Raw genomic sequence first — 27,402 nt, forward strand, 5'->3', positions numbered from 1 at the left:
GCTTTCCTGTAAGAAATAATGGCAAGAGGTTTCCTGTAAGAAATAATGGTGAAAGGTTAGCAGAGTGCCTCTTCTATGCACAGATTAGACTTCCCGTGTAACTCTAGCCCACATAAATAAGACAATTTCTACCTATAGCAGTTAAACATATAGTAACATTAAAAGTCAGTGGCTTAAGTTAATTGGAATTATGTAAAATAAGAAAATGATATAGATGAATTTGGGATAAATTATCATTTTAATAATAATAACCCTTTCTAAGGCTATGGTATCTCATAGAATAGAAGTAAAGAGTAGAAGACAGCCAGCATGGTGTCTCATGCCTGTAATCCCAGTACTTCGGAAGGCTGAGGTGGAAGGATTGCTTGAGCCCAGGAGTTCAAGACCAGCCTAGGCAATGTGGTGAGAACCCAGCTCTACCCCAAAAAATAAACACAAAAAATTAGCTGGGCGTGGTGGTGAGTGCCTTTAGTCCCAGCTACTTGGGAGACTGAGGTAGGAGGATTGTTGACCTTCAGAGGTGGAGGTTGAAGTGAGCCAAGATTGCACCACTGCACTCCAGCATGGGAGACAGAACAAGACCCTGTTTAGTGAGGTAGGAGGGATAAGTTCCAGCACTGCAGGGTGACTATGATGAACAACAATTTATTGTATATTTTCAAATACCTAGAAGAACAGATTTTGAATGTTTTCAACAAAAATGGTATTTGAGGTGATTGATATGCAATTACTCTGATTTAATCATTACACATTTTGTACATTTATCAGAATATCATATTGTACCCCATGCATATGTACAATTATTGTGTTTTAATTACAAATAGGAATGAAAACAAAAAAAAAGACATTTTAGTAAATAAATAAAATTATCTTATCACCAGCTTTTAAAAGATTAAAGAGCTTAATGTCGTTGCCAGGGAAGAACATTAGACTCTTAAACACAAGTAACAGGTTAACACCAGTGTAGGCAGCAGAGGAACTTTTACAGACAGGCAAGCCAAGGAAAGATTGACTAAAAGAGGAGAGGAACCAGCCGGACCCAGGGGTTCACTGGGATTTGAATAGGGCGTCAAGGACATATTCATTCTCTCTCTCTCTCTCTCTCCCTCTCCCTCCCCTCGCCCCCATCTCTCTCTCCCCATCTCTATCCCTCTGTCCCTTTCTCTCTTTCTCTCTCTCTCTCTCCCCATCTCTATCCCTCTCTCCCTTTCTCTCTTTCTCTCTCTCTCTCTCTCTCCCCATCTCTATCCCTCTCTCCCTTTCTCTCTTTCTCTCTCTCCCCATCTCTATCCCTCTCTCCCTTTCTCTCTTTCTCTCTCTCCCCATCTCTATCCCTCTCTCCCTTTCTCTCTTTCTCTCTCTCCCCATCTCTATCCCTCTCTCCCTTTCTCTCTTTCTCTCTCTCCCCATCTCTATCTCTCTCTCCCTTTCTCTCTTTCTCTCTCTCCCCATCTCTATCCCTCTCTCCCTTTCTCTCTTTCTCTCCCCACCTCTATCCCTCTCTCCCTTCCTCTCTCTCTCTCTCTCTCTCCCCATCTCTATCCCTCTCTCCCTTTCTCTCTCTCTCTCTGCCTCCTTCACACACACGCATGCTTTCATGGAGGCTTCATTCTCTCATTTGGATTTTCTACATTATGGGAAATGTGGCCTCTGAGAGCTCCTGGACTTCAGTTCTCAGGAAGGTCTTTGCTTCCCTTAGCTTATACGTGAACATTTCAGGAAACGACTCTGCCTTGCTTGGTGGAATGTGCCCACTCCTGGATGCAGGCTTACAAACTCAAATGCCTCCAGGGCCCCTGCTTAGACAGGAGTGAAGCACATTGATTGGGCTATGATGAACGGGAATATGATGCTCAGTTTGTGAGGCCAGGGCCACTCCCACATGGTGACAGCAGGTGAGAGTAGCTCTGGCCCCCATAGACAGTAGTGGGTGTGGGCAGAATAATTCCTAAGCCTTATTGATTTACATAAACCGGGAAATAAGGATATTTAAATATGAAATGGCAGCTTTCAAGTGTGGACAGCAAAATAAAAAATTGTTAAATGCTGTGTGGGACAAATAGTCTAGGTTATGACCTCAGGACCATTTTTCATTTCTGCCTTTGACCACTGAACTTTGATGGAAAGGATGAGATACTAGAAGTGGCTCAGTTTGGGCACACAGTCACCTGAGGCCAAAGCAGCAAGATCCACACAGACATTGAAGTTCCCATCCAGTCCATGCAGCTGGAGTTTTGAGATCCCTTCCCAGAAGAAGGGACGTGTTGGTACCAGAAGAAGGGAGAGAGGGAGTGCCGGGCACGTGAGATTATTGTCCATTGAACAGGATCCTGGAAAACTTGAGAGAGAGGGGTAGAAAGAGTAAAGATGTTGGTCAAGAGAATAAGAGAAAGAAGACGAAGAAAAACTATGTTATCTCTGCCAAATGATGCTGCTTTTCCAAGAAGGGCAGCGGTTTTGCCAGCACTACTTGTGATCATGTCTGTGAGAAATCTTGTTCCTTCTCCTTTAAGTTTTGCAGTCAGAGTTTCTCAGCCTCAGCACTGTTGACATGTTGGGCAAGATTATTGTTTATTGCTGGGGTGGGGGAGTGTCCTGTGCAGGGCTAGATGCCAGCAGCATTTTCCCTGCCCACACAGTTATGACAACCAAAAATGTCTCCAGCCATTGCCAAATGTCCCTTGGGTGCATTGAGAACCTCTGGTTTAAATCCTGCCCACTCTGTATAAAGTACTTCCTGCATCAAAATATTGTCTTAAACTTTTTACTAGGAAATAATTTTAGGCTTTCAGAAAAGTTGCAAAAATAGTACAAAGAGTCTTACATACTTTTCACCTAGATTCCTCCAAATTAACATTTACCAGGTTTGTTTATCAGTATTTTTCTTAATAGCTTTGTCTGAATGTTTCTCTCTCTCTCCCCCTCTGTCTGCATATCTATATCTATATCTATATCTATATCTATATCTATATCTATCTGTGTGTGTGTCTCTAGGTGCAATTTTTCTGAATTAATTATTAGTAAGTTACACACATTATACCTCTATCATGTGTATTCCTTAAAATAAGGCAATTCTCTGATATAATCACATTGGTCAAAGTAAAATGGCATTGCTATGGTACTATTATGTATCTGCCTCCTTTATTCGAATGTTTCCAGTTATTCCATTACTGTTATTTAAAGCCAAAGAAAACTGATTTTTTCTGTTGGTCCAGCATCTCATGCTGTGCTTCCTTGTAATGTCTCTTTGTGTTTTTTTATCAGAAACAATTTCTCAGCCTTTTTTTGTCTTCATAACTCTGACGTGTTTGAAGAGTACAGGCCAGGTTTTTTAGAAGAATGTCCCTCAATTTGATCCGTGTTGATTTGGAGGTAATAGCTGCATTCATTTCGAATTGATCTAGCCCTTCCGGACATTGAGTTCTGAATTGGGATGATTGTGTGTTTGGTGCAGTCTTAATATCACTGTTGTCCACAGTTATCCCTGCAGGATCCTCTCTTACTTTTTTTTTTTTTTTTTTCTGAGATGGAGTTTTGCTCTTGTTGCCCAGGCTGGAGGGCAATGGCGTGCTCTCGGCTCACCGCGACCTCTGCCTCCCGGGTTCAAATGATTCTCCTGCCCCAGCCTCCTGAGTAGCTGGGATTACAGGCATGTGCCACCACGCCCAGCTAATTTTGTATTTTTAGTGGAGATGGGGTTTCTCCATGTTGGTCAGGCTGGTCTCAAACTCCCTACCTCAGGTAATCCGCCTGCCTCGGCCTCCCAAAGTGCTAGGATTACAGGCGTGAGACACCACGCCCAGCCCTCTCTTACTTTTAATGTCCCCATTATTGTGGCTGAAGGGCTCAGAAGCCCTCTGCCTCTGAGTAGGACACCCTCCTCTCCTTCCCTCCCCTGCAGCTGGGTCTGGGCTGTCCTGTTCTGGCGTGAGTGGTTTCTTCTGGCCCTGCCTCTTTATCTAGTAGAGTTCTGCCACTGAGTTTTCCCTGGGACAGCCACATGGGCACAGCTGTCTCCCAGGCAGCACTAGGGGAGGAGATCAGGCTCCCAGCTCCCCCAGCATGACACAGAGCTGGTGGGAATTTCAACAGGACTTTCTGAACGGTGAGGGACAACAGGGGCCCCATGTCACTGTGGAGGCTGGCACTCTTATATATTCATGGGTCAAACCCACTGTAGTCTCTGAAGTCTGGCACATGCTGTTGTACCTGAGTGTCACAGTCACAGGCTAAATAAGCCCTTTTCTTTTACAACCTTCCCTTCAGTGAGGGCTGAGGGAAATTCACATCTTCTTGCTTTCCCCTCCTTCCCTTGATTTCCCCAGGACAGCCAGCTCTTCTTGGCTTTTACTGCCCCGGAGAAGATGCTTAGACATACAGGCCTGCATGTGTGCACCGCCCCCCACACAGTCACACATTCACACACGCATGCATGTGCTCACACGCTCATGCTCATTAGCGCACACATGCACACTCACATTCACACATGCACCTCCCACACATTCACACACTCATGAACACACATGCACGTTCATTCACATGTGTGCCCACACGTGCACAAATACATATGCTCGCTAACACACACTGTAATGCATACATGCACGCTCATACGCATGCACTCACACACATACACCTGCATACTCTCACTTGTTCATTAATGCGCATATGCACCTATACACACCCTCTCACATGTTAACATACATGCACACTTATACACACGCACACATGCTCATGTGCGCACACACACACAGACACACATACGTGAATGCAGCCTTGTGACTAGCCGTTAGTTTTTAAGAACAAGGGAATCTAAATCCAGATTTAGGAATTTAAAAATGTCCCTAACTCCGTGGGGCACAGTCCTGTTAGTACATCTATTTGCGTGACTAACCAAAACAGTGAATATCTTCATTAGAGTTAATGGTAACTTTACAGTTTTCTCCAAGAACACGGCGTACCTGGTTTATAGGGGTGCAGCTGAAAACACATGCAAGCACACACACTCACAACACATTTTGGAGAATATTCTGAAAGAAAGTAGGCCCAAGAGGTGTATTTAACGTCCCCATCTTCAAAGACAGAAAATTGCTGGTAACTTTTAAATCAGCATTTTCTAATTTGCAGTCTGCCCTATATGATTCTCAATAATTTTTGGCCTATATTGGTATCATCTGCACTTCCATTTACTTAACAACAGCTTTTCTCTATTTCAAGTCTTTTAATCTGAGCTTTGCCCTAAGCAATCATTTCCATGAAAGTCACTGTTTTACATACTAATTGCATTTTCCCCAAAACATCAAGCTAAATACATAACTGATAGCATGTTTAAAGGTCCTATGTTTCACCTCAAATTATCTCATATTTCACATGAGGCAAACCCTGTCCTGAGGCCCTGATGAAGATGGGCAGGCAGATCTGATATCAGCTGCTTTTCTTTCCTTGATGGAACCTCTGGATTGCGTGCCCTATCCTATAATGTGAAAAAAGGGCTTCCAGAAAAGGTGGAGGAATTACTTTCTGAAATTCTGAAAGGCTGGATCCAAAGGTGCAGAAAGGAACATTATTTCCTACCATATAAAACCCAGTAGGGCGTGTGATGCTGGGACACTGTATGAGTCCATTCTCATACTGCCATAAAGAAGTACCTGAGACTGGGTATTTTATAAAGGAAAGAGGTTTGGTTGACTCACAGTTCTGCAGGCTTAATAGAAAGCATAACTGGGAGGCCTCAGGAAACTTACAGTCATGGGAAATGGGAAGCAAGGGACGTCCTACATGGCAGCAGGAGAGAGAGAGAGTGAAGGGGGAAGTGCCACACTTTTAAACTATCAGATCTCATGAGAACTCACTATCATGAGAACAGCATGGGGAAAGCCGCCCCCATGATCCATTCACCCCCGACCAGGTCCCTCCCTTGACATGTGGAGATTTCAATTCAAGATGAGATTTGGGTGGGGACACAGAGCTAAACCATATCGGACACTGAAGATGTGTGACGCACTGTTCCACCGGGAGTTATAGCCCCATTGAATTGTCAAATAGGGTCCCCCCTGGCCAGGTGCTGAATTATTCCAGACCAGGACATTGCTGGGCTTGGGCCCATCAACCAACATACAAGTCAGCATTTCCCAACTTTAAACATATATGCCCTTTCCAAATAAACATAAAAATCCAGAGATTTTTCTCCACTCCTTCTCTCAGAGGAGAGAACATGATCCCTTAAAGATCCTGTTCTTTATTCTCCAAGCCAAAAGAACAACAAATAGATTCACTTTGCCTTCTGTGGCTCATTTAACAAAAAAAAAAAAAAGAAATAAGTGATTTCCCAATTTCATAATAGAAATGACTGAATATGCATTTTAATGCTAAACCCATTTCAGAATTCTGATGTATACATATCCCACCCCTCCCAGTTGAGAATTGCTGGTCCAAATGGAAGTTTACATCTTTTCCACAATGAAAGCCACTGAACTGGAGCGTGCTGTAGGTGAGTGCACCATCCTCCTGGTGAGGTGAGGTCCTGCAGCTCTTAGGCCTCTAAAGAGCTGGATGACCCGAGCAGCACAGGAATCCCCAAATTCTCGAGGGACATTCTTATGGTCTGAGCCAGCTGCAAGGCGATCCCAGAATTCCCCTGCAAGTACATCCAAGAAGAAATAAATATCTATAGAGGTGTTGCAAACCTCCCAGGAGTCATGACACAAATGAAGTCCTTTGAAGTCCAGTTCCCCTCTGGTGTAGGTACCGTTTTCACCCTATAGTGCAGAGTTTCTGTCCCCACACGCTAGATGCCAGCAGCATCCAGCCTCGCTGATGACAACCAAAACATCTCCATACAGTGCCAGGTGCCCTTTTCCCCTGGATGGGCTGATACTGAGGGGCTGAGCTGCCTGCAGCCCGCACCAACTGTGTGAATGCAGCCGACCTGCTGCGGGAGGAGATGATGCTGGGATTCCCAGAACAGCAGAAATAGGTGAAAGGGGGAGGAGAGTCTGGGAGGGATTGGGGTCCCTGGTTTAGCTTCCTGTTTTCCCAAGGCTCAGTTGTCCTGCTGTTCCCGTAACTCAGGGATATGCCCTGGAGCAATCCCACTCAATACCTGTGCTGGTTGAGTCCTGTGCTGGTTGAGTGCCTGCCTTTCCTTCCTCAGATCCATCCTGTTTCCCCTGCTCACTTCTGGATTATAGGGAACTGCACCTCCCAGGTTCCCTTGTTTTCTGGCTTCTGGACACATTCTAGTCCTGTCTGAGGCAGTGGCAGAAGACAGGAGGGAGATTGAAGTGGGGAAAGCCACAGTGCTTTTCTCCTTTTCTTGCTTTTCTTCCTGGACTGCCTGCAGTGATGGCCAGGGCGTCTCAGGAACCCCGGCTGACCGGAGGCAGCTTCTGCGCACTGTGTCCTGGTTTGCACCCTGCCCCACGGGTGGCCTTGGCCCCTGGAAACCCCCTGGGACCCATTGTTCCTCCTCCCCTAGGGCTGCGGGGTGCCCTCCTGTCGCTGGTATCTAGGTGTCTCACCATCCGTCTCTGCTTCATAACTCTTGCCTCACTACGTAATCAATTCCTATGTTTAAGCCCTTCTGTTCCAGTAACTACAGCATTTTGTTTTGTTTTGTTTTTCTGGCTGAATTCTGACAAAATATCACTTTTTTCTTATGCACATTCAAGTTTGCTTTCTGTTTCTTGCAGTCAAAAGAATCGTGGTCAAACAGAATGAAAGGCAAAACTTAGAGGAAAGCCTTGGAAACAAAGCCGGCCTCCCTGAGATTCCTGCTGTGTACAAGGGAGACAGGCCCACACTTCCCCACCTGAACCTGTTTTTGACAATCCCTGCCCAACTTCCTCACCCAGCAGTTGTAAGAAATGGGTTTGTCAATGGTTTTTTCTAACTTGTTCCAGTAGAATGTAAGCTCCTCGTGGGCATAGATTTTGTCTCTGTTGCCAGTACTGAAACCCTGGTACCTAGATGAGTGCTGGGCACACAGCAGGTACTTTGTAAATATCTATTAAGTGTACTTAGTACCTAGGTACCCTAGTACCTAGATGAGGTATTCATAAGTGTCTGTTAAGTGTACTTAGTACCTAGGTACCTAAGTTCCTAGATGAGGTATTCATAAGTGTCTGTTAAGTGTACTTAGTACCTAGGTACCTAAATTCCTAGATGAGGTACTTCATAAGTGTACTTAGTACCTAGGTACCCTAGTACCTAGATGAGGCACTTCATAAGTGTCTGTTAAGTGTACAATAAGAACTGTGGATCATGACACAGTGGAATTAACTTGATAGACTGTTGCTGTCAGCAGTTTTCTTTCATAAACAGAATAGCATAGAAATTCTATTCCTAATAGAGCACATTTCACATGGTAGGTCTGTGTTTTCTGTGTGTTGGTGTAGGTATGTGTATGTGTGTGTGTGTATATGCAAGCACGAGCACCAACTTGTGTTGTAAAATGTGATTCTTACAGTAGACCTTGATTTTCAAAAAATTTGAAAGCCGGACAGCAAGATAATAGTTCAGCTTTTTGTGAACGGTAAGGAGTGTGCAAATCTGAACCTGTAGTGTCTCCTGGATTGCTGTCAGTGAGGACAGAGGATCCTCTTTAAAAACTGGGTCCAAACTCCCTCTGGTCTCATTTTGCACCTCTCCACAGTATAAACTCTCCTTTCCAACCATTCCAAATAACTTAATTCCCTAATCTCAGGGGGCCGTTTCATTGCAGAAATTGCTGCTTGTTCACAAACTTAGTAAGGTACTTAAAAAAGATTTTGTCATGGTTAATAAAAGTCACAGGGTAAATTGGTCTTATTTCTTCTTTTTAGTGCAAAATGTAATCCCTTCACCCTGATTGTTTTGCTTAGTTGTACACACCACCCATCGGGAGGCCAGAAAACTTGTATTTATTTCTAGAGCTACCTCCTTACAGAATTTCAAAGAACCTCGGGGCACTTGAGAATTGGTGTCCAGACAGGATGAATCATTTCTTCTTCAATCAGGATTTTTTATTTTATTTTATTTTGCTGGGGGATAAAGATAAAGATGATTGAACTTGTTTTATTTAGGGGAAAAACAGCCTCTCTTTGAACTCTTGATCTCCACTTCTCAGGAGTGGAGCCCATTTGTAAACTCTCAGGTCTCTCATTGCCTTCTTTGTCTCCCAACCTCCTAAGGTCGAGAGTGATTCTTTATGGCAAAGAGTGAGCATTCTGGAGACTGCACAGCCTCCTCTGAACAAACTGGAGCATATATTTCCCGCATCGTCTCTGTCACCTCCCTGGGTTTTATTTTAATTGCCATGCTTTTCAAAAGCACAATTCCTATTAAATTATTCATGGTGGTATAATGTTTATGTGATCAGAGTAATTATTATAATTACGCATTGTGAATTTTCATAATTAATGACCTCACTCGGATTTCATTTGGTGCAGAATATTTCCGAAGGGGAATCAGGTGGTTGTGTCTGCTGGGGGAATCAGAATGGAATAAAATGGTGACCTATCTTGGGTTTTGCAGAGCAGTAGAAACTTCAGTCATTCACTTTGGGGACTGGGGATGAGGAGGCATCTTGAGAAATGGAAGGAATGGGATCTACTTCCAGTTCACTAGAGGCGTCCTGACACCCCTAGCTCAGCATCTTCCTCTGTGAACCGCCCATGGGAAGGTGTCCAAAGGTGTCCTAGTAGAACAAGCCTAGCAGACCAACAGGAGCAAGGAGACCAGACACGCGTCTCACTTTTGGGGCTTTTGAATGAGACTGGGGCTTACCAAATCTGCAGAAACCAGCCAACAATGCTCAACAGCAGCAAAACCACACTTCAGTGACTCACACAGCAAGGTGGCCCTAACAGGACTCAGGCTTCAGCTGACTTCCTCTCCCTCTCTAATTCTGGAAAGAGTAGAAAATGCAAGCCATTGGAGAAATGGCTGGTGGCACTCTGAGCATGGGAAGAAATTTGATATTTTATGATTGGCACCTGTCTTAGTCTGTTCTAGTTGCTCTAACAAAATACCAGAGACTGGGAAGCATCTAAACAACAGGAATTTGTTTCTTGCAGTTCCAGAGCCCAGAGATCCAAGATCAGGACACCAGCAGATTCACTATCTGGTGAGAGCCGGCTTCCTGGTTCATAGACAGGGCTTCTCCCTATGTCCTCTCACAGTGGAGGGGAGAGGAATCTCCCTAGACCCTTTTATAAGGGCCCTAATCCCATTCATGAGGCTCCACCCCCGTGACCTCATCACCTCCCAAAGGTACCACCTCCTAAGACCTCCATTCTGAAGAGGAGGATTTCAACACATGAATTTTCAAGGAACAAAGACGTTTAGAACACAGCCATTTTGTAGTCAGATTTCAAATATTTTAATGCCTCCATTTTCCTCATCTTTGACTTGTATCTGAGGAACCAATGCTTGGTGTGAGCCCTAAATAAATAAATAATAGATAGATAGATAGGTAGATAGATAAGAAGTTCAAGCTTCTTTGTCCCCCAGCAAAAAAAAAAAATTAAAAAATTGAGAAAGAAATGATTTATCCTGTTTCATCCTGTTTTGTATACAAATAGATGCCAGTACTCAAGTGCCCCAAGGTTCTTTGAAATTCTGTATGGAGCTAGCTCTAGAAATAAATTTATATTATGTTTGAGACAGGGTCTTGCTCTGTTGCCCAGGCTGGAGTGCAGTGGCACAATCACAACTCACCGCAGCCTCGAACTCCTGGCCTCAAGCAGTCCTCCTGCCTCAGTCTCCCAAAGTTATGGGATTACAAGTGTGAGTCAACACACCCAGTCCCAAAATAAATATTTGGTATAGCTATAGCTATTCACTAAGACCTTTCATCAGCATCATTCCCTCTCAGCCTCAGACCTACTTGAGGGGAAGGCAGTTCCATCCCCATTTTACAGATGAGAAAACTGAGACGTGTAGGGTCACATGGAAAATAAATAATGACCGCCTTGAAACTGTGATGTCCAGGGCGTCCTGTCTGTAACAGCCTGCTACCTTCCACCCCCTCCCCTGGGTATGCTTTCATTCCTTACCCGACTTCTTAGACTTGCCCTCCAATGTTACTGATGTGCCTTTTAAGTCCTTCAAAAAAAAAAAAAAAAAGAAAGAAAAAAGGGTGGGGTACAACCTGAAGAAAGAAGAAAAATAAGAGCCCCACATAAAATTCTGCTCAGTGATCAGAGACCAGTCCAGTCATAGATTTCAGTTTTAAGCACCAATTAAAAAAAAAAAACCTTAAAAATTTCTCCTATTTCCTTCTTGATCCTTGTAGAATATTGTACTTTTCAGACCATATTTAGTTGTACATTCCTCTGTCTTTCTCTCTGCTCTGTCATTTCTTGAAGACATGGGCCTTTCCTTATTACCTTCCATATCTTCAGGTTGTAATGGGATATTCAACACATAATAAGCAGTGAAATGCATCTTGCAAGAATGAGTGAACATTGGTTTTCTCTGTACCTCCCCTTGCCTCCCTTTCTTCCTAGTGTCCAAGTCCCTTTGTCTCTCTTTGTCCCCTATATTTACTGAAGTAGCACCCTTGTTTTGAGAGTATTTGTTGATTTGAGATGCAAAGCTTTTGGCCTGATGCCTGAACCCAGGAGACAGGACTCAGGGCCTATCCAGCATTGAGACCTGAGTTTCCCAATCATTGGAGGTTCACGTTTTATAATTAGGATGCTTTGGGCTGCAAGTAATAACAACACGAATACAGTCTGCCTTAAATGGTAAGGAAACATATTATCTTAAAAAGCAACTCCAGAAGTAGGGTGGTTTCCAGGTTAATTGATGCAGTGGCTTATTGCTCCCCTTAATGATCAAAGTCTTTCTGTCTCTCTAATGACATCCTGGCTTCACCCCAAGACTGGTTGTTCTCATGGTCACAGGAGAGATGACACTGGTATTTAGGGTACACAGTTTATATGTTTATGGCTAGAAGGAGTGGCCAGCTTTACAGAGGCTTCTCTCAAAAACAAAGGAGGGCCAGCCCAGCCATTAATTTCCTCTCTGTCTTTCCTCTCTGTCTTTCTGGTCATATTTAGAGCACAGAGCCATTCTGTAGCCAGTCACTAGAAAGGGAGCTGGATTCGCCTTAAAGGGATAGATAGAACAACACTTGGACCTGAGAATGGAAGTTGTCCTCCGTCAGGTTCATGACTGTGAGTGTCATGAGGAAGAAGATGGGGCAATAAAGTCAAGAGTAGGCAAGAAATTCATGTTTTCCTTTAAATTGATGCATTTCTTTAATTTAGCAAAACTATTTTTAAAACATCAGGGTTTGATATACTATAAGTGTTTTCTTCTAACCAGCATTAAAATAAATATATGATAATATAAATAAAAGATATTTATCTCTGTACCATTTTGGGAATTGCTAGATTTAGACTAGACTTCCCAAACTGCATATTTCACCAAAACACACCCCGTGATCTTTGGACAAAATAAATCCCAGGTTTTTATGGATGTAGGAAATACAGCTGTAATTCCGTCAAATGGTCTTTTTTTTTTCTTAATTGCAAAGTGCATATGTAAGTTTTCCCCTTTTTAAACTTTCATGATTCAATAGAAAGCAGCAAGGGTCTGTTTTTAGGGGCTGGACTGGCCATCTTTTCAGTTGGTGCTGGCTTGAAATGAAGAGCAACAAATAGAATAAATAACTGCAGTGAAGGGGATAATATGGTATTGACTGCTTGGCTCTGGTTAATTTTCTGTGCTGTGAACACCATGCAGAAGTTGGGCTGGACGTGATGGCCTCCTGCCGATAGGAGGCCAGTGGCTGTGAATATTGTACGTTTGTAAACTCAGAAGGGGTTTAGTGTGCAGCCAGATTCATTTAAAGTCATAAATGGATTATTGGATTACTCCTTGGTCATGCGTCTAAGTAATTTACGGGTGCTATCATGGCTCCGGGTCTCTAATAAGCTTCGCCCTCCTTGGGATAGTGACTGTCTTGCCTTAACTGATGTTGAATCTTTCCCACTTAGTCTCTCCTGCTTAGGGTTAACATTTAACCAAGGCCTGCAAAAGCTGGCTTTGAAGGCACTCGACTTGAACTGAGAAGGTCTGACTTTAATTCTGACCCTTCACCCCCAAATCTTTTCAGAGAGTGTAGCAGTGTCTCCTGGTGGGCACAGTTCTTTTCCTTTTTCCAGGATTTGGTATCTCTTCTGAACTTTTTCCTTCTGACACCCACATGATTTTAAGCAAAAACTCTATAATTTTTCAAAAAAAAGTTAAAACCCAATCATTTACCTCCTTAGAGACCCCAAGCACTGAAAATAAATTATGGGGCCCTGCTCAACCTGTCTACAATTCACAATTAAAATAGTACTTAGCCATAAAGCAAATGGAAGAAAACCCAACAAAATATTTGTTTTCTCATGATGATGACTTCAATATCAAATGATTTACAAAAATATTCCCTCCTTCATGTTAGTTTCCCTGTTTTGCTTTTGTTTGGTGTGACAGCCTGTGGGGTAATCTCACCCCGCCTTTAGCTATGAATGTAGCTTTAAAGGTTACAAAGCATTTTCCTCTTTTTATCCCATTTTATCTCCTCTCCTTCTGCCCAGTACAGGTTCAGGATGTTGCCAGAGAGCACCTGTGAGAATGCACATCTAATCATGTTATTCCCTTGCTTAAGACCCCAGTGCGGCTCCCATTGTTCCAGAAACTAACCCATGACCCTCTGTGGTGGAGCTCCCCAGGCTCTCCAGCCTCAGGTTCTCCCGCCCTCTCCTCCCCCGGGCCATGTGCATTGTGTTTTGTTGAATGTGTTCCTTCCGAAAGGGCAACTGGTACAGCGCAAAATGTTCTTCCTACAGGGCAATTGTTATGTTGATTTTTTTGTCTGTTTATTTGTTTTAACTTTTTTTTTTAAATAGAGACTCACAGGAAGTTGCATAAAATAGTACAGAGAGCCCCAAGTCCCCTTCACCCAGCTCTCCCTGGTGATTGCATCTCACGTAACTACGGTACGTACGACTCACAGCCAGGAAACCAGCATCGGCAGGTGCCTGCATAATTCTTTGCCATTGCATCCTGTGGGTAACTGCCTGCAGCCACTGCTCTGAAGACACTAAACTGTGCCATCAGAGCCTCCCTCCTGCTACCTCTGTATCCTCACAGGAAGACATTTCTTTGGGGGAAGAAAACGAACTTTGCAGATGAGGCTGGAGTTGTCTTTGATCCACATCTACTCATGCTGAGGACCTCAGCTGCCTTCTTTGGGGGAATGTTTTTCCCCAGTGGGGAGTGGACCAAGGTCGCTGGTAGAGCACCTTGTACCTGTCCTGCACAGCATTTCCCTGGATTGCAGATATGTGCTCATACATGTTGTCCCCATTTAACTTGAAGTTCCATGAAAACAGGGGTGTTTTTTCTCTTTTATTTGGTTGTATGTACTATCATTTCCCCAGTGTGGTATTGGATTTTTCATACAGTGTTGGTATTTAACGCTGAGAGCAACAGCACATGTGTGTGGGATGAATGTGATAACTTCCTCACGGTGGCTTACGGTAGGATTAGTATGAAAATCCATGTATCCTGACCCTGAGCCCTGTGTTCAACCTTTACCTTTTAACCATCACTCTGGAGCTTGGAAGGTGATAAATTTTCTGAAAACTCAAAATTGTACTAGAGATATTGGTCATGAGACTCACTGTCCCAGGGGCTCTGTGCTGCCTTGGAGCCCTAATTGTTAGGCAGCCATGTTTCATACCATGCAATTTCCATCTTCTACACTGAATCCATGTTTGAGTCAACCACAAGAAACACCTGATCCCTGGGTGGTTAATGTATACCTGGATGCCTGGTTTTGAAAAGATGAGCTGGTCTCATTAGATGAGCTGGTCCATGAGATTTTGAGTTAAGCAATGTACACGGAATTCACCAGCTATTGATGGCATGGCTACTGAGATGCTCTTAGAAAGACAGAGCTGATGGTGCCAGTTCAGAGGACCCAGATGAGAACCAGAGACAAGCGAGACAGTAACACACAGAGTAAAACAGAGATGTGAGAGAATAGATGTTGTCTTCCTCTCAAGCAATGGGAGAAAATCAAATTTGAAATTTGAAAACAATTCCAGATTGTTTTTCGTATAGAGAGAACTTTGGTAGAAGGTTGGAGAGAATCAGGCAAGGGTGTATAGCTTGGTCACCTTAAGGTAAAGGTTTGTGAAAATCCTGCTGCCGAGGGTCTCTAAAGCTGCATGCAGCCCAGGTTCTTCCTTTCCTCCAGGTCTTCACTCTATGAAATGTGGTCCCTACCTCTCACCCCTACACGTGATTGCAGGTGGGTTCACATAACTCTAAGATGTTAGCACTGAGCTGGGTAGGCACATCCCACATCCCACACCAGGAAGAGACCAGGAGTTAGGTGCCAGTGGAACCGGGGCAGGATGCCCACATTTAAATAATTCCGTCAGTGTAGTCTAGACACAGTCGGCCAGTGTTCAATACTAGACTAGACACAATAAGAAATACAAAACTCAAGACAGGTAAGAGCAAGAGTAAACATGTTTGGGCAAATCCATGATCAAAGCAGGTGGTGCTTTAAGGAGATAGCCATAAGCGTAAGCCAAAGTCTGCGGGGTGGCTCCAGTGACTTTTTGTTCCCTGGGATTGGGCTTCTTTTGAAGTCCTCTAAGCAGTTTTTTACTGGCTTTAAAAGAGAAACCGCTGTGATGAAAGACTGGGAGAAGTCCTCTGTTCTTCCTCCTGGGGTTATTGCTGGCAACAGGAAGGTGGAAGAGCTTACAGAGTGTTGGCTCAGGTTCCAGCCTCATGAACTTATCTCCTTGAGCCTGGGACCTTCCTGAAAAGCAGAGTTCATGGTTTTTCTCATTTGAAGGAGGCATTATGATGGGAGAGAGAAAGGGGTCTCTTCCGTGTGTCCTTGTGCTTCCTGCATTTTTTCTTCTGTGAAGAAAGTTTTTCACAGCATAGTTGTGGTGGGCACTCTTGAGTGTGTTTGCCTGAGTTACAGTGATGCCTTTTCACTGAGGACTCTAAGCCTATGAGAGGACACCAAGCAGCCGTATTTTCCATAAGTGATTCTGGTCTCCAGTCAGTTCTAAGAACCAGGGGTGGACACTCATTCCAAGCTGGACCAAGAAGATGTGCTTCCCTAGAAATATGGAATCTTGGCTGATACCAGGCTCTATTTATGGTGGAGCTAAGCGCCTATTAAAAACTCAGGCTCCAGCTGTGCATCGTGGCTCAATCCTGTAATCCCAGCACTTTGGGAGACGTAAGCGGGAGGATTGTTTGAGGCTAGGAGCCTCAACACCAGCCTGGGCAACATAGGGGGACCCCACCTCTACAAAAAAAAATTCAGAAATTTGTCAGACATGGTCATGTATGCCTGTAGTCCCAGCTACTTGGGAGGCTGAGGTGGGAGGATATCTTGAGCTCAGGAGTTTGAGGCTACAGTGAGCTAGGAATTCATCCCTGCATGCCAGCCCAGGTGACAGAGCAAGCCCCTGTCTCAAACAAACAAAACAAATGAACAGAAAACTCAGGGACCATGGTCCAACTACCTTTTACCATGCACACTGATGAGAAACAAACAATGAATGGAGGAGAGGTGTGCTGTGGGAAGCAGAAGTAGGAGAGCTTGGAGATGGAAGGCGAGGAAAGCATGAAAAAGGAAAGGAAGTGTAGGGAGGAAAAATCAAATAGACACAGAAATGCAGAGAAAAACAGAAATACCTGAGCAAGTTATTGTTGCCTCATCCCAGTTAGCTCTCCAGACCTCAGTTCTAGTTCCCGCCTCATTGCTGTGTTCAGGCCTCCCCAGTAGTTGCCCCTTAAAATAAGTTTTTCTATTTTAAAAACATTGTTCTTTTACTTGTATCTCAAAGAATTAAATATATCGAAATTTATTAGTAGTAGTATTAGTATTAGCGTTGCCTGCCTGCCTAATAGTTTCCCATCTTCTTTTTGGCTCTAACATCTACAAATGACTGCCATGCTTCTGCCCTGGGAACCATGTGCCTCCCAGAGCCAGAATATTTGCCTTGATTTTTGAAGAATCAGGTAGAAATGATGGGATGGTAGTATTTATAATGCCATCAAAGAAAGGAAAGAAATTTGCAAGGATTGGAGGAAAGAGTTCCGTTTCATTTGCATTGGGACTTGGCAAACAGATGCAGAATGGGCTTCCAGTATTACTGGTGTCCTGTGAAGGTAGCTGACTAAGGTATTGTATTAGTCCATTTTCACGCTGCTGATAAAGACATAGCTGAGACTGGGTAATTTATAAAGAAAAAGAGGTTTAATGGACTCGCAGTTCCATGTGGCTGGGGAGGCCTCACAATCATGGCGGAAGGCAAAAGGCACATCTTACATGGTGGCAGATGAGAGAAATGAGAGCCAAGTGAAAGAGGAAACCACTTATAAAACCATCAGATCTCATGAGACTTACTTACTACCACGAGAACTGTATGGGGGAAGCTGCCTCTGTGATTCAGTTATCTCCCACTGTCTCCCTCCCAGAACATGGGGGAATTATGGGAGCTACAATTCAAGATGAGATTTGGGTGGGGACACAGCCAAACCACATCAGTTATAAATGGCTAAAGTCTGTCGAGTGTGTCAGATGGTCACTCACCTTTGTGCCTGACATTGGTGAAGTGCTGGGATCAGGGTAGAGAGTGAGAGAAAACTTTCTTTACTTTGTATTGTATCATTGGCACCAAATAATTTTTGGGTCTTGGAAGGAGCTGACCACTGTCATCACAGTGCTGGCTGATCTTATTATTATCTGTCTCACAAATCAAATATGGGTAAATATATTCTATAGGCAGCAGTAGCAAAACATGCAAAATCAGATTACTTGACCAATTTTCAGCCCTGATTCCTACTCCTCATGTTGATTCCTCTGATTAGCTTTTCATTCCTCTCTGAAATGCCACTAAATGGACTCAGATGCCAAAATATAATTTGCATAGGGCACTAGCTTTGTCCAGAAGACACAGTTGTTATTCAAATCAAGCCAAGTTAAAAGAGATCATGTAGCTCTTTCGTGTCACAAATTTGGTAGCAAGTTTTTATTGTTTATAGATTACTATGAGCTACTAAGGGAAAACAGGGCTTTAAGAGAATGTGGCAAGTATTAAGAGACACAGATACTTCTTTGGAGCAGCTTGTAAGGGAGGGTTAATAAAACATATCTACATGACACAATAGCAAAACTTCAAAGCCTTCATCTTAATACATATGAAATGATTTATATAAATTGAAGATCCACGGGCTGAATGATGGTTCAGAGTTGAATGGATTAACCCTGGTGAACTGTTTCAAGAGGGTCTTTTTAAACCATCATTTGCAGATATTTTGATCTTCTTCTTGTATCAGTTTTCAGATACCTCAAATAAGGTTCACAGCCAACAACTTGGGAAGCATCTTTGCACCCTAGGGCAATGTGTGCCCCCACCTGACCTCCAGATGGTATTCTCCAACCTGAGCAAGAATCAATAAATCAGTGATGGGGAAAATCAAAGAGGACGACACAGCTTTGCCTTCCAAGACCTTAGGATATGTGTTCATTTATTACTTGGGTGCCAGAGCATTAATGATGCCATGTGGGTTCAGGTTTCTCCTTATGGGTGTTAAAACAAAAGGAATTATTCTATCTACTTGTGTTGAAGCAAATGGAAATTTATTATTCTTTAAAAGAAAGGATACTATGACAGCAGGAATACAAAATTTATCAGTAAAAATGAGTCCAAATTTTAGTGTCTTCAGCACTGTCTCAGGTTGTGCCTTGCATTTCCCTTCTTCCCTTTGATCTTTTATGGGGCAAGTTCAGAAGCAGATATTCTGATAGTAAAGCAATGTAGGGATCCATCGTGACTGAGCCTGATTCCAAAGTTTTCTTTATTCGTGATGAGGGAACAATGATTTTAATTTACTGTTTCTGCAGAACTTCAGACCTGTCTCTTAAAATAACTCCTGACCACTTATTCACTGGTCAACTCAAGCAAATAATATTTGTGTTTGTCCAATTAACAAAGAGCAAAAAGGGGTGGTAAAATACATCCTGAGCCTTAGGCATCAGGAGAAGTTTGCACGTGGAACTGCTGTTCTCAACGTTGCTTGCTACGGTAGATTGCAGAAATGGTGGCTGTTTTCCTCGCTGCTGCTAGGCTTGACATTTTTCAGCTCTTACCATCAAAAGGTAGAGTCTTATTTTTCTACCTCTTGCATGCAGCAGGCCTTCTGATTGTGTTGGCCAGTAGGATGAGTTAGAAGTGGCATTGTGGAAGTCATTTCTGAGCTCAGACCTCAGGAGGTTTCTGCACACTTCTGTCTTTCTCTTGGAACCTTCCACGTTACCATGTGAACAAGCATGGGTGAAAGTATGAAATATGAGAAATTACCAGGGAGGTCTTCCCAGTGAAGGCCATTCTTGACCAACGAGACCCAACTAACCTGGTAGTTGGGACAGATGTGTGATCCCAGCAGAACCCAGAATTATGAGCTAAATCGATGGCTATTGTTTTAACCCAACCAAGTTTGGGGATGATTTGTTACGTAACAGCTGACTGATACCCTTCATGTTACACAAGTTCGTGAGTAACAAAAAAGTAGATTGTCACTAAGTATTTTTGAAGAGATAAACACATCCTTTTAATTTATCTTTTATTGAGACATCTTATTTTTTTCTTTACCTGAGAATCGAGCTTCCCTACACATTCAAAAATGGCATTTGTGTGTGCATCAGATAGAAAATGTGTGTGTGCGTGTAAGTGCATGCTCAGCTTTAGAAACAGCCTTTCAGGCTGGGCGTGGTGGCTCATGCCTGTAATCCCAGCATTTTGGGTGGGTAGATCATTTGAGGTCAGGAATTCAAGACCAGCCTGGCCAACGTGGTGAAACCCCGTCTCCACTAAAAATACAAAAAATTAGCTGGGCATGGTGGCGGGCACCTGTAATTCCAGCTACTCAGGAGGCTGAGGCAGGAGAATCGCTCGAACCCAGGAGGTGGAGGTTTCAATGAGCCAAGATTGCACCACTGCACTCCAGCCTGGGTGACAGAGCAAGCCTCCGTCTCAAAAAAAAGAAAGAAAGAAAGAAAGAAAGAAAAAAAAGAAAGAGCCTTTCAGAATCACTGGCTGTAATCTATTTGGGGAGACGGCATCCACATATGTGAAAAAATCTGGGAAGATGTAAGTGCCAAGTTCAGTAGCCCTGCCTCAGTGGTCATTTAGAACTGTGTCCACTCAAAGAGCCCATAGCTTTGTAGGTTCAGAGGTGGATAAAGGTGCATCTGGCCACTTCAGTTAGGAAAGGCTTTTTTGATGGGACAAGTTGGGTGGAAAGAAAGATTGGTTTGGATGCCATGGGGAGTTGGAAGGGTAGATTCTGACCTGGCAATGACATGAACCAATATACAGAGGCTGGAGTTGCCATTGGCTGTGGCTGAGAGGAGGGGCGAGGAAAGGGTTGATTGCCAATAGATTCCTGTTGGGGAGAGATAGAAAATGGGGCTACTCTCATCCCTTCTTTCCATCCACCTTTCTTTAAAAGCGTTGCGTATTAGGCTGGGCGTGGTGGCTCACACCTGTAATCCCAGTGCTTTGGGAGGCAGAAGTGGGAGGATCACTTGAGGCCAGGAGTTCGGCCTCGGCAACACAGTAGGACTCCATCTCTACAATAATAATAATTATTATTATAATAACTGTCATAATAATAAAAAATTAGGCATGGTGGCTAGACCCCGACTTTAAACAGAAAGGATTGCATGTGATACCTCAGTCTGAAGAGGGAGAGTTTTATTTGTAAGGAGAAAGAGCCTTAACATTTTAATTATCTTGATACTACTCCCATCTTGGCAGTTACTCTGTTTCCCCCAAATTGCTCAAGAGCTGGAAGGCCTGAATCCTGACCTTAGTACCAAGCCTGAGAACTCAATCCATTCTCTAAACGTTAAGTTTCCGCCGAACTTTAGATGATTCTGCGGCTTTGTGTTGTGGTTTTGTGGCTTTTTTTTTTTTTTCCATTTGAAATTAAATTATCTGGAATGACAAAACCACAGCTGTTAAACAGTGGGCATTAGATGACATTTAAACATCATTATCTTATGCTCTAATGGAAGAATTGGCTCGTGATTAAAAATGAGACCTCCCGGCAGCAGCAATCTGAAGAACTGCCATTTGCAAATCGCCTATTTTAAGAAGAACCCTGAATCTATTGGTATTTTCAGAGAAAATGGAACACTAGCTTTATCTGCGTCTGGATGTTTGAAGATGGTGCTGATTGCTGGCAGACCTTTCCAGCATGATCCTAATGGTTTGGTGCCTGCCTGTATAGACGATGCCTAGAACTGACGGTAGCCTGGTGATATTTACAATTACAAATGGATTCTTATTTTAGAGATTATCTCAAGGAGTCAGTAATCCATTTTCAGGGCTTGAGACTTAATTTAGGCTTTTAAAATCTCTGATTGTGTGCAGTTAATGAAGTCAGTCTGAGTCTATATTCATCCCGATAGTGCTGAGTTTGACACCAATGACACTAGATTTTATTTTCCAAATAGGTATGCAGATTTTTCTTCCCAAGAAAGACTTCCATTCTAGTGACTTCAGGTTGAAACATTTAGATGTGAACATTTCAGCATGGAAAACACCTCTTTACCCTGTGAAGAAATTCTTTTTTTTTTTTTTTTGAGACTGAGCCTTGCTCCGTTGCCCAGGCTTGAGTACAGTGGCGATCTCAGCTCACTGCAAGCTCTGCCCCCCGGGTTCTGCCATACTCCTGCCTCAGCCTCCCGAGTAGCTGGGACTACAGGTGCCCGCCACCACGCCTGGCTAATTTTTTGTATTTTTTAGTAGAGATGGGGTTTCATCGTGTTAGCCAGGATGGTCTCGATCTCCTGACCTCGTGATCTGCCCACCTCGGCCTCCCAAAGTGCTGGGATTACAGGCGTGAGCCACCGCACCTGGCCACCCTGTGAAGAAATTCTAACTTGTAATTTGGGGGTTTCTGCTTTCTCTTTTGTAATGTTATTTTTAGAAAGCTAAAGGCTAATGAATGATTGAGGTGTAATGTTTATGGGACAGCAGGATTTCTGTGGCAGGTATCTATTTAGTTATTTTTAGTGTCCTGTTTTTTGAAGACTTCAAGAAGAACATATAAAAGGAAGAGACCTTTGTCCACTTCCACTGTAGCTCAATTTCCCATCTATCAATTGGATTACTGCTAGGGTTTTGGAGAAAATGAAAAATGAAAGAATCAGTGATGATTCCCCAAAGTAAATTATTGCTGAAATGTGAGATAGGTTTTTGTCCTCTCGTTGGCATGTTGGGAAAAGCCTGGGCATATGTTAGCATGGTTAGCCACTGAGTGAACCCATGTTCTTTAGCTGTAAGCAAAGAGTGAGCCCTACTAAAGAGGATATGGACTGGTCCTTTAGGTTAAGAGGGTGGTTGAAACCCCTCAACTATTATTGAAGGAATCAAAGAGAGGAGCTACATGAAGCCTTCCACCATTGCTGGAAGGAATAACCTCCTTCTTTCTGGCATCCTTAAGGTTCTGAGTCTTTGGCAAGAGTTCAGTTTCCCAGGGTTGGTTCACACACCCACCCTTGGTTATATGGCACCATAAGAGGCAAGGAGCTTCTAGAAACCTTATCGCCTGGTTTCATAGACTTACCCTCCCTCTTAGACTGGACATAATTGGGGGAGAAGTAATAGCTTCTTCTGTCCCCAAAGTGGGGTGTTATCATGAAGGGAGAAAGGATGTTGAGTTATCAAAATATACAAATATCTCAACTGGAAGTCAAAATGTGTCTTAGAAATTCAGCAATGTCTAAGTAAAGACACTCAGAATTGTCTGCACATAAAACTGTAAGCTCCAGCTCTCCAGATTTGAAAAAAAAAAAAATAGGAAAAAACAGCAAAGCTATTAAGGACCCGTATTTTAATATGCATTATTACATTTCACAATTGTTTTGCAGGATAAATTTCTATCAGGTGACATGAAAATGAGGCCAGATATTTTCATAATCTCTTGTGACCCAAATGTATTATGAATTCCTTCATCCAGTTTTAATATAACTCTAAATTATTCCTCGATGTCTATTAATAATTAAGGAAAGCAAAAACTGTATTATCTCTTTAATAGCATTTTGACTTTTTACTTTCTTTTTGTAATAGATGTTCCCAGTGCATTTCTTGTTATGTCAGGATTCTTAAGAACTTCAAGTCATCGTATTGCATGACTCTTATGCCCTCAGTTTATGAGTCCTGCTATCAAATGGCAATGGGTCCCCCACTCCCACCAGTCTCTTCACCCCAAGAAGTCATTGCCCTCCTTGCAATGGGCCAACACCCTGCTTTACTTTAGGGGAGCTGCCCCTCCCTGACTGTCAGTCCCTTAGGGTGGGATTCCTTCCCTAGGCCTGTCCAATGAGCGTGGTACATTCCATGGGAATGAGAGGCACAGGGCTGGGCAGGTATTCAAAGTGGGGCCATTCAGAGGCAAGGAATGTCTGTCCTTGGACTTTATCTGCAACAGTTAGGAAACAGTGCTTCTCTTTACACCTGGGTTGTGAGTCCTGGAGCTGCAGGTGGCCGTCTTTCCTAAGCATAAAGCCCATGCTGATGGAAGCAGCCTATGGTTCTAGTGGCATCATCTCAGCTCCTAAATCCAGTCTCTTTGGGACCCAGATCTTTCCCTGGACTTCCCCCTTGCAGGAGTCCATAATAGTCTGTTTTATACTTAAGCCTCAACGAGGTTTTTAAAATTATTATTATTTGTTACTGAATCTTATCAAACATATCACCCTTGGCCAGTTTTTTTTTTCTTTTATTTCTAGGGATTCAGATTCTAGAAATGCATTTCTTGTTCCACATTCTGGAAACACATTGCATTGCACAGCCGATGGTATTTAGGAAGGGAGTTAACCCTACCACAGGGACCAGTGCACAGCAGAGAAATTAGAACTGTGTCCGGCACGTTGCAGACACTCAAGAAACTTTTGCTGAGTGAATGGAGGAATGTTTGTAAATCTCCCTTAGTGCTTCCTTGGGACAGGGCTGCACTCTGTTCAGGAGCAATTCCTTAGGCTGGAGAAGCTCTTCCAGGCAGGGATGAGCTGCGGGTTCACTAGGGCTGGGGCAGGGACAACCTGTTTTTGGCCAGCCATTGTCATCTTCTGGGGGGAGCTGACCTTCATGAAGCATCAGCTGAGCACCGTGCACAAGGCCGGGGGTTTGCTCTGCTGGTCAGCTCCACAGCAGGAGACGTGAGAAATCTTCTGGTCCCATCACCTGGTGCTGAGGCTCTTCTTTCCTGTGAACTAATTAGCTCTCCGGTTCAGTTACCTTCTCTCCCTTGGTTTCCATAGAGGGAAATGGATTTTAAAAATGTGATGGAAAGCGTTTTCTTCCAGTGGTGGTAACAGGGATAATTGTCATTGCTCTGCTGGGATGAGGGGAGTTTTTGGGGATATTTGGGGTGTCTGTGATGACAGAAAGTAGAGGAGACAATTTGGGGGAGGGGTGGGGATCAAGGTCCTCACTTAAGCAGAAAAAAGGACCTTTCAGTGATCTCCCGTGACGGGACTGCTGACCTCCAGCCAAGACCTGGTGAGGCAGGGGTGGATGGAAAGGAGGCAGCTTCAGAATGAAGCCGTATCGTTTTGTTTCAGGAATGAGAAGCCAAAATAAAGCAGAAAGATTTAAATCTTGCTTTTTCTCTTCTTAGCTCTATGACACTTGGCAAATCAGCTATTCTTACGGATCCTCAGGACCTTCTTTGTGAACTTCAAATGTTTAGCACACAATAAGCACCAACACTTGCATTTTTAAAAAACTGAGGTGAAATTCTCATCACATACTACCAATAAGCATTTTGAAGTGTACAATTCAGTGGTATTCAGCGCATTCACAATGGTGTGCAACCATCACATCTCTCTAGTTTCAAAACTTTTCCATCACCCCAGAAGAACCCCCCATACCCATTTAATCCGTCACTCTCCATTCCGTTTTCCTCCAGCCCCTGGCAACCAGGACCCCACCGTCAGTCTCTGTGAGTTTGCCTGTTCTGGAAATTCACATAAATGGAATCCTACAATATGTGACCTCTGTGTCTGGCTTCTCTCACTCGGCATCACTTCTTTAGTTTCATCTGTGCTGTAAAATATATCAGCTCTTCATTCCTTTTTTTCTTTTTTTTTTTTCTTTTTTTTCCTGAGATGGAGTCTCGCTGCGTCACCCAGGCTGGAGTGCAGTGGTGCAGTCTCGACTCACTGTAGCCTCCTCCGCCTCATGGCTTCAAGCGATTCCCCTGCCTCAGCCTCCTGAGTAGCTGGGATTACAGGTGCCCGCCACCATGCCTGGCTAATTTTTGTATTTTTAGTAGAGACGGGGTTTCACCATGTTTGCCAGGCTGGTCTCAAACTCCTGACCTCACGTGATCCTCCCACCTTGGCCTCCCAAAGTGCTGGGATTACAGGTGTGAGCCACCGCACCCAGCCTCTCTTCATTCCTTTTCAGGGCTGGATAATATTTCATTGTACAGACAGATCACTACCTTTTGACTATGCAAACCTTTGACTAATCAAGAGGTTGATTCTACCCTTTGACTATTGTGAATAATGCTGCCATGAACCTTCATGTATAAGTATTTACATTTTGAGAATAGTGATGATAAACACAATGATTATTTTTATTAGTTAAATACCATTAAATACAAAGGATGAAGCTAGAGAGTGGATTGGTGGCTACCAGAGGCCAAGAAGGATAATGGGTGTATTAGTCTGTTCTTGCATTGCTACAAAGAGATACCTGAGGCTGGGTAATTTATAAGAAGAGAGGCTTAATTGGCTCATGGTTCTGCAGGCTGTACAGGAAACATGGCACTGGCATCTGCTTGACTTCTGGTAAAGCCTCATGGAGCTTCCAATCGTGGCAGAAAGTGAAAGAGAGAGTTGGGTGGGGGGGTTTGCCACACACAAGGGAGCAAGCAAGAGAGAGTGGGGTCGGGGGTTTGCCACACGCTATTACACCACCTTCCATGAACTCAGAGTGAGAACCTGTTCATCACCAAGGAGATGAACAAGCCATTCATGAGGGATCCACCCCCGTAATCCAGACACCTCCCACCAGACCCCACCTCCAATACTGGGGATCACATTTCAACATGAGATTTGGGTGGGGACAGACATGCAAGCTATATCTACCAGTGGGGATGGAGAGAAGTTGATTAATGGGTACGAGCATATGGTGGGATAGAGAAAATAAGACCTTGTGTTAGATAGATTAGCAAGGTGATTGTAGTTTACAGTACCGTGTGTTTCAAAATATGGAGAAGAGAAGAATTTAAATGTTCCCAGAATAAAGAGAAGATGACTATTTCAGATGATGGAGATCTCAAGTACACTGATTTGATCTTTACAAATTATATGGGTGTATTAAATAATCACATGTACCCTTCAACTATGTATATCTATCATCTATCAATATAAAAAATAAATGAAAAAATTAAAAATACAAATTATATTATCAAATACTATTAACTGTTAACACTATTATTCTTACGAATACTAGTTCTAATAATAAGCGTGTGGCTTGCCACAGAGCTAATTAGTCAGACCTAGACCGCAGAAATCTGCACAGTCCTTTACCCTCTCCACATCTTCCGGGAGCTCTCACTGACAGTCTCCAACACTCTGACAAGATAAGATCCGTACTTCTTTCTAGCCACCCCTTATTAACTCAGCTAAGCTGGATCCGAAGGTTGCACGCAGCCTCGCCTCACTTCTGTGACCGTACTCCTGGTACTCACTGTAATTATGGAATTGTGAAGTGTCACCCACTCAGGAAGCCAGAAGCCTTTTTCTCGTTGAGTGTACGCCACAGGGGACTGATGCTGTGGCCCTAGATGAGAGGGACACAGCAGGCTCTTGTTGGGAGGGGACCCGCTTCTCTGCCTCTATTCTCTACTTTTGTTGTTTAAAGGTAAAAGTCCGAAAATGTTGCCATAGTGACAGCACCAAATGTTGATCAAGTCCATTAGATTTGCCCAGAGGTGCGCTTAGCTCACCCACAGTACTTTCAGAACAGTTCTTTGTTCCCTCTCTCCTTCGTGCAAGAAACGTGGCACCCCCGCCGGAACCTGGTGCCCCGCAGGCTGCGGTGTGGCCATCCGCAAATGGCGACTCACTTCACGTCGGTCCTGGCTCCTCACGCTGCCTGCTCAAACCTTTTTATCAAGCGCAGGCCAGCGAGGCCCCACCTCTTCCCCACGTCCACTGTCCACATCATGCCCTCAGCCTCTCCTGACCACCTCTACGCAGTGTTTTTCCAGGCCGCCGTTGACGGTGCAGGGGTGATGGCAAGAGACCACTCAAATTCAGAAGCTGAGTCATATCCTCTGCTTATCTCAGATTGGGTT

General features: G+C 43.7%; 1 protein-coding gene and 1 non-coding gene across 4 annotated transcripts in view; both read left to right on the top strand.

The window, feature by feature from the left end:
• TMEM132C (transmembrane protein 132C) overlaps positions 1–27,402 on the top strand; it is a 440,742-nt gene that overhangs the window by 17,383 nt on the left and 395,957 nt on the right. The gene's annotated exons all lie outside the window — the stretch shown is intronic.
• Positions 9,540–9,626, top strand: MIR3612 (microRNA 3612). The gene has a single exon (NR_037406.1). It is a non-coding gene; the product is annotated as a microRNA 3612 (primary transcript).

The sequence above is a fragment of the Homo sapiens genome, chromosome 12, assembly GCF_000001405.40.
Source record: "Homo sapiens chromosome 12, GRCh38.p14 Primary Assembly".
Lineage (NCBI taxonomy): Eukaryota > Metazoa > Chordata > Mammalia > Primates > Hominidae > Homo > Homo sapiens.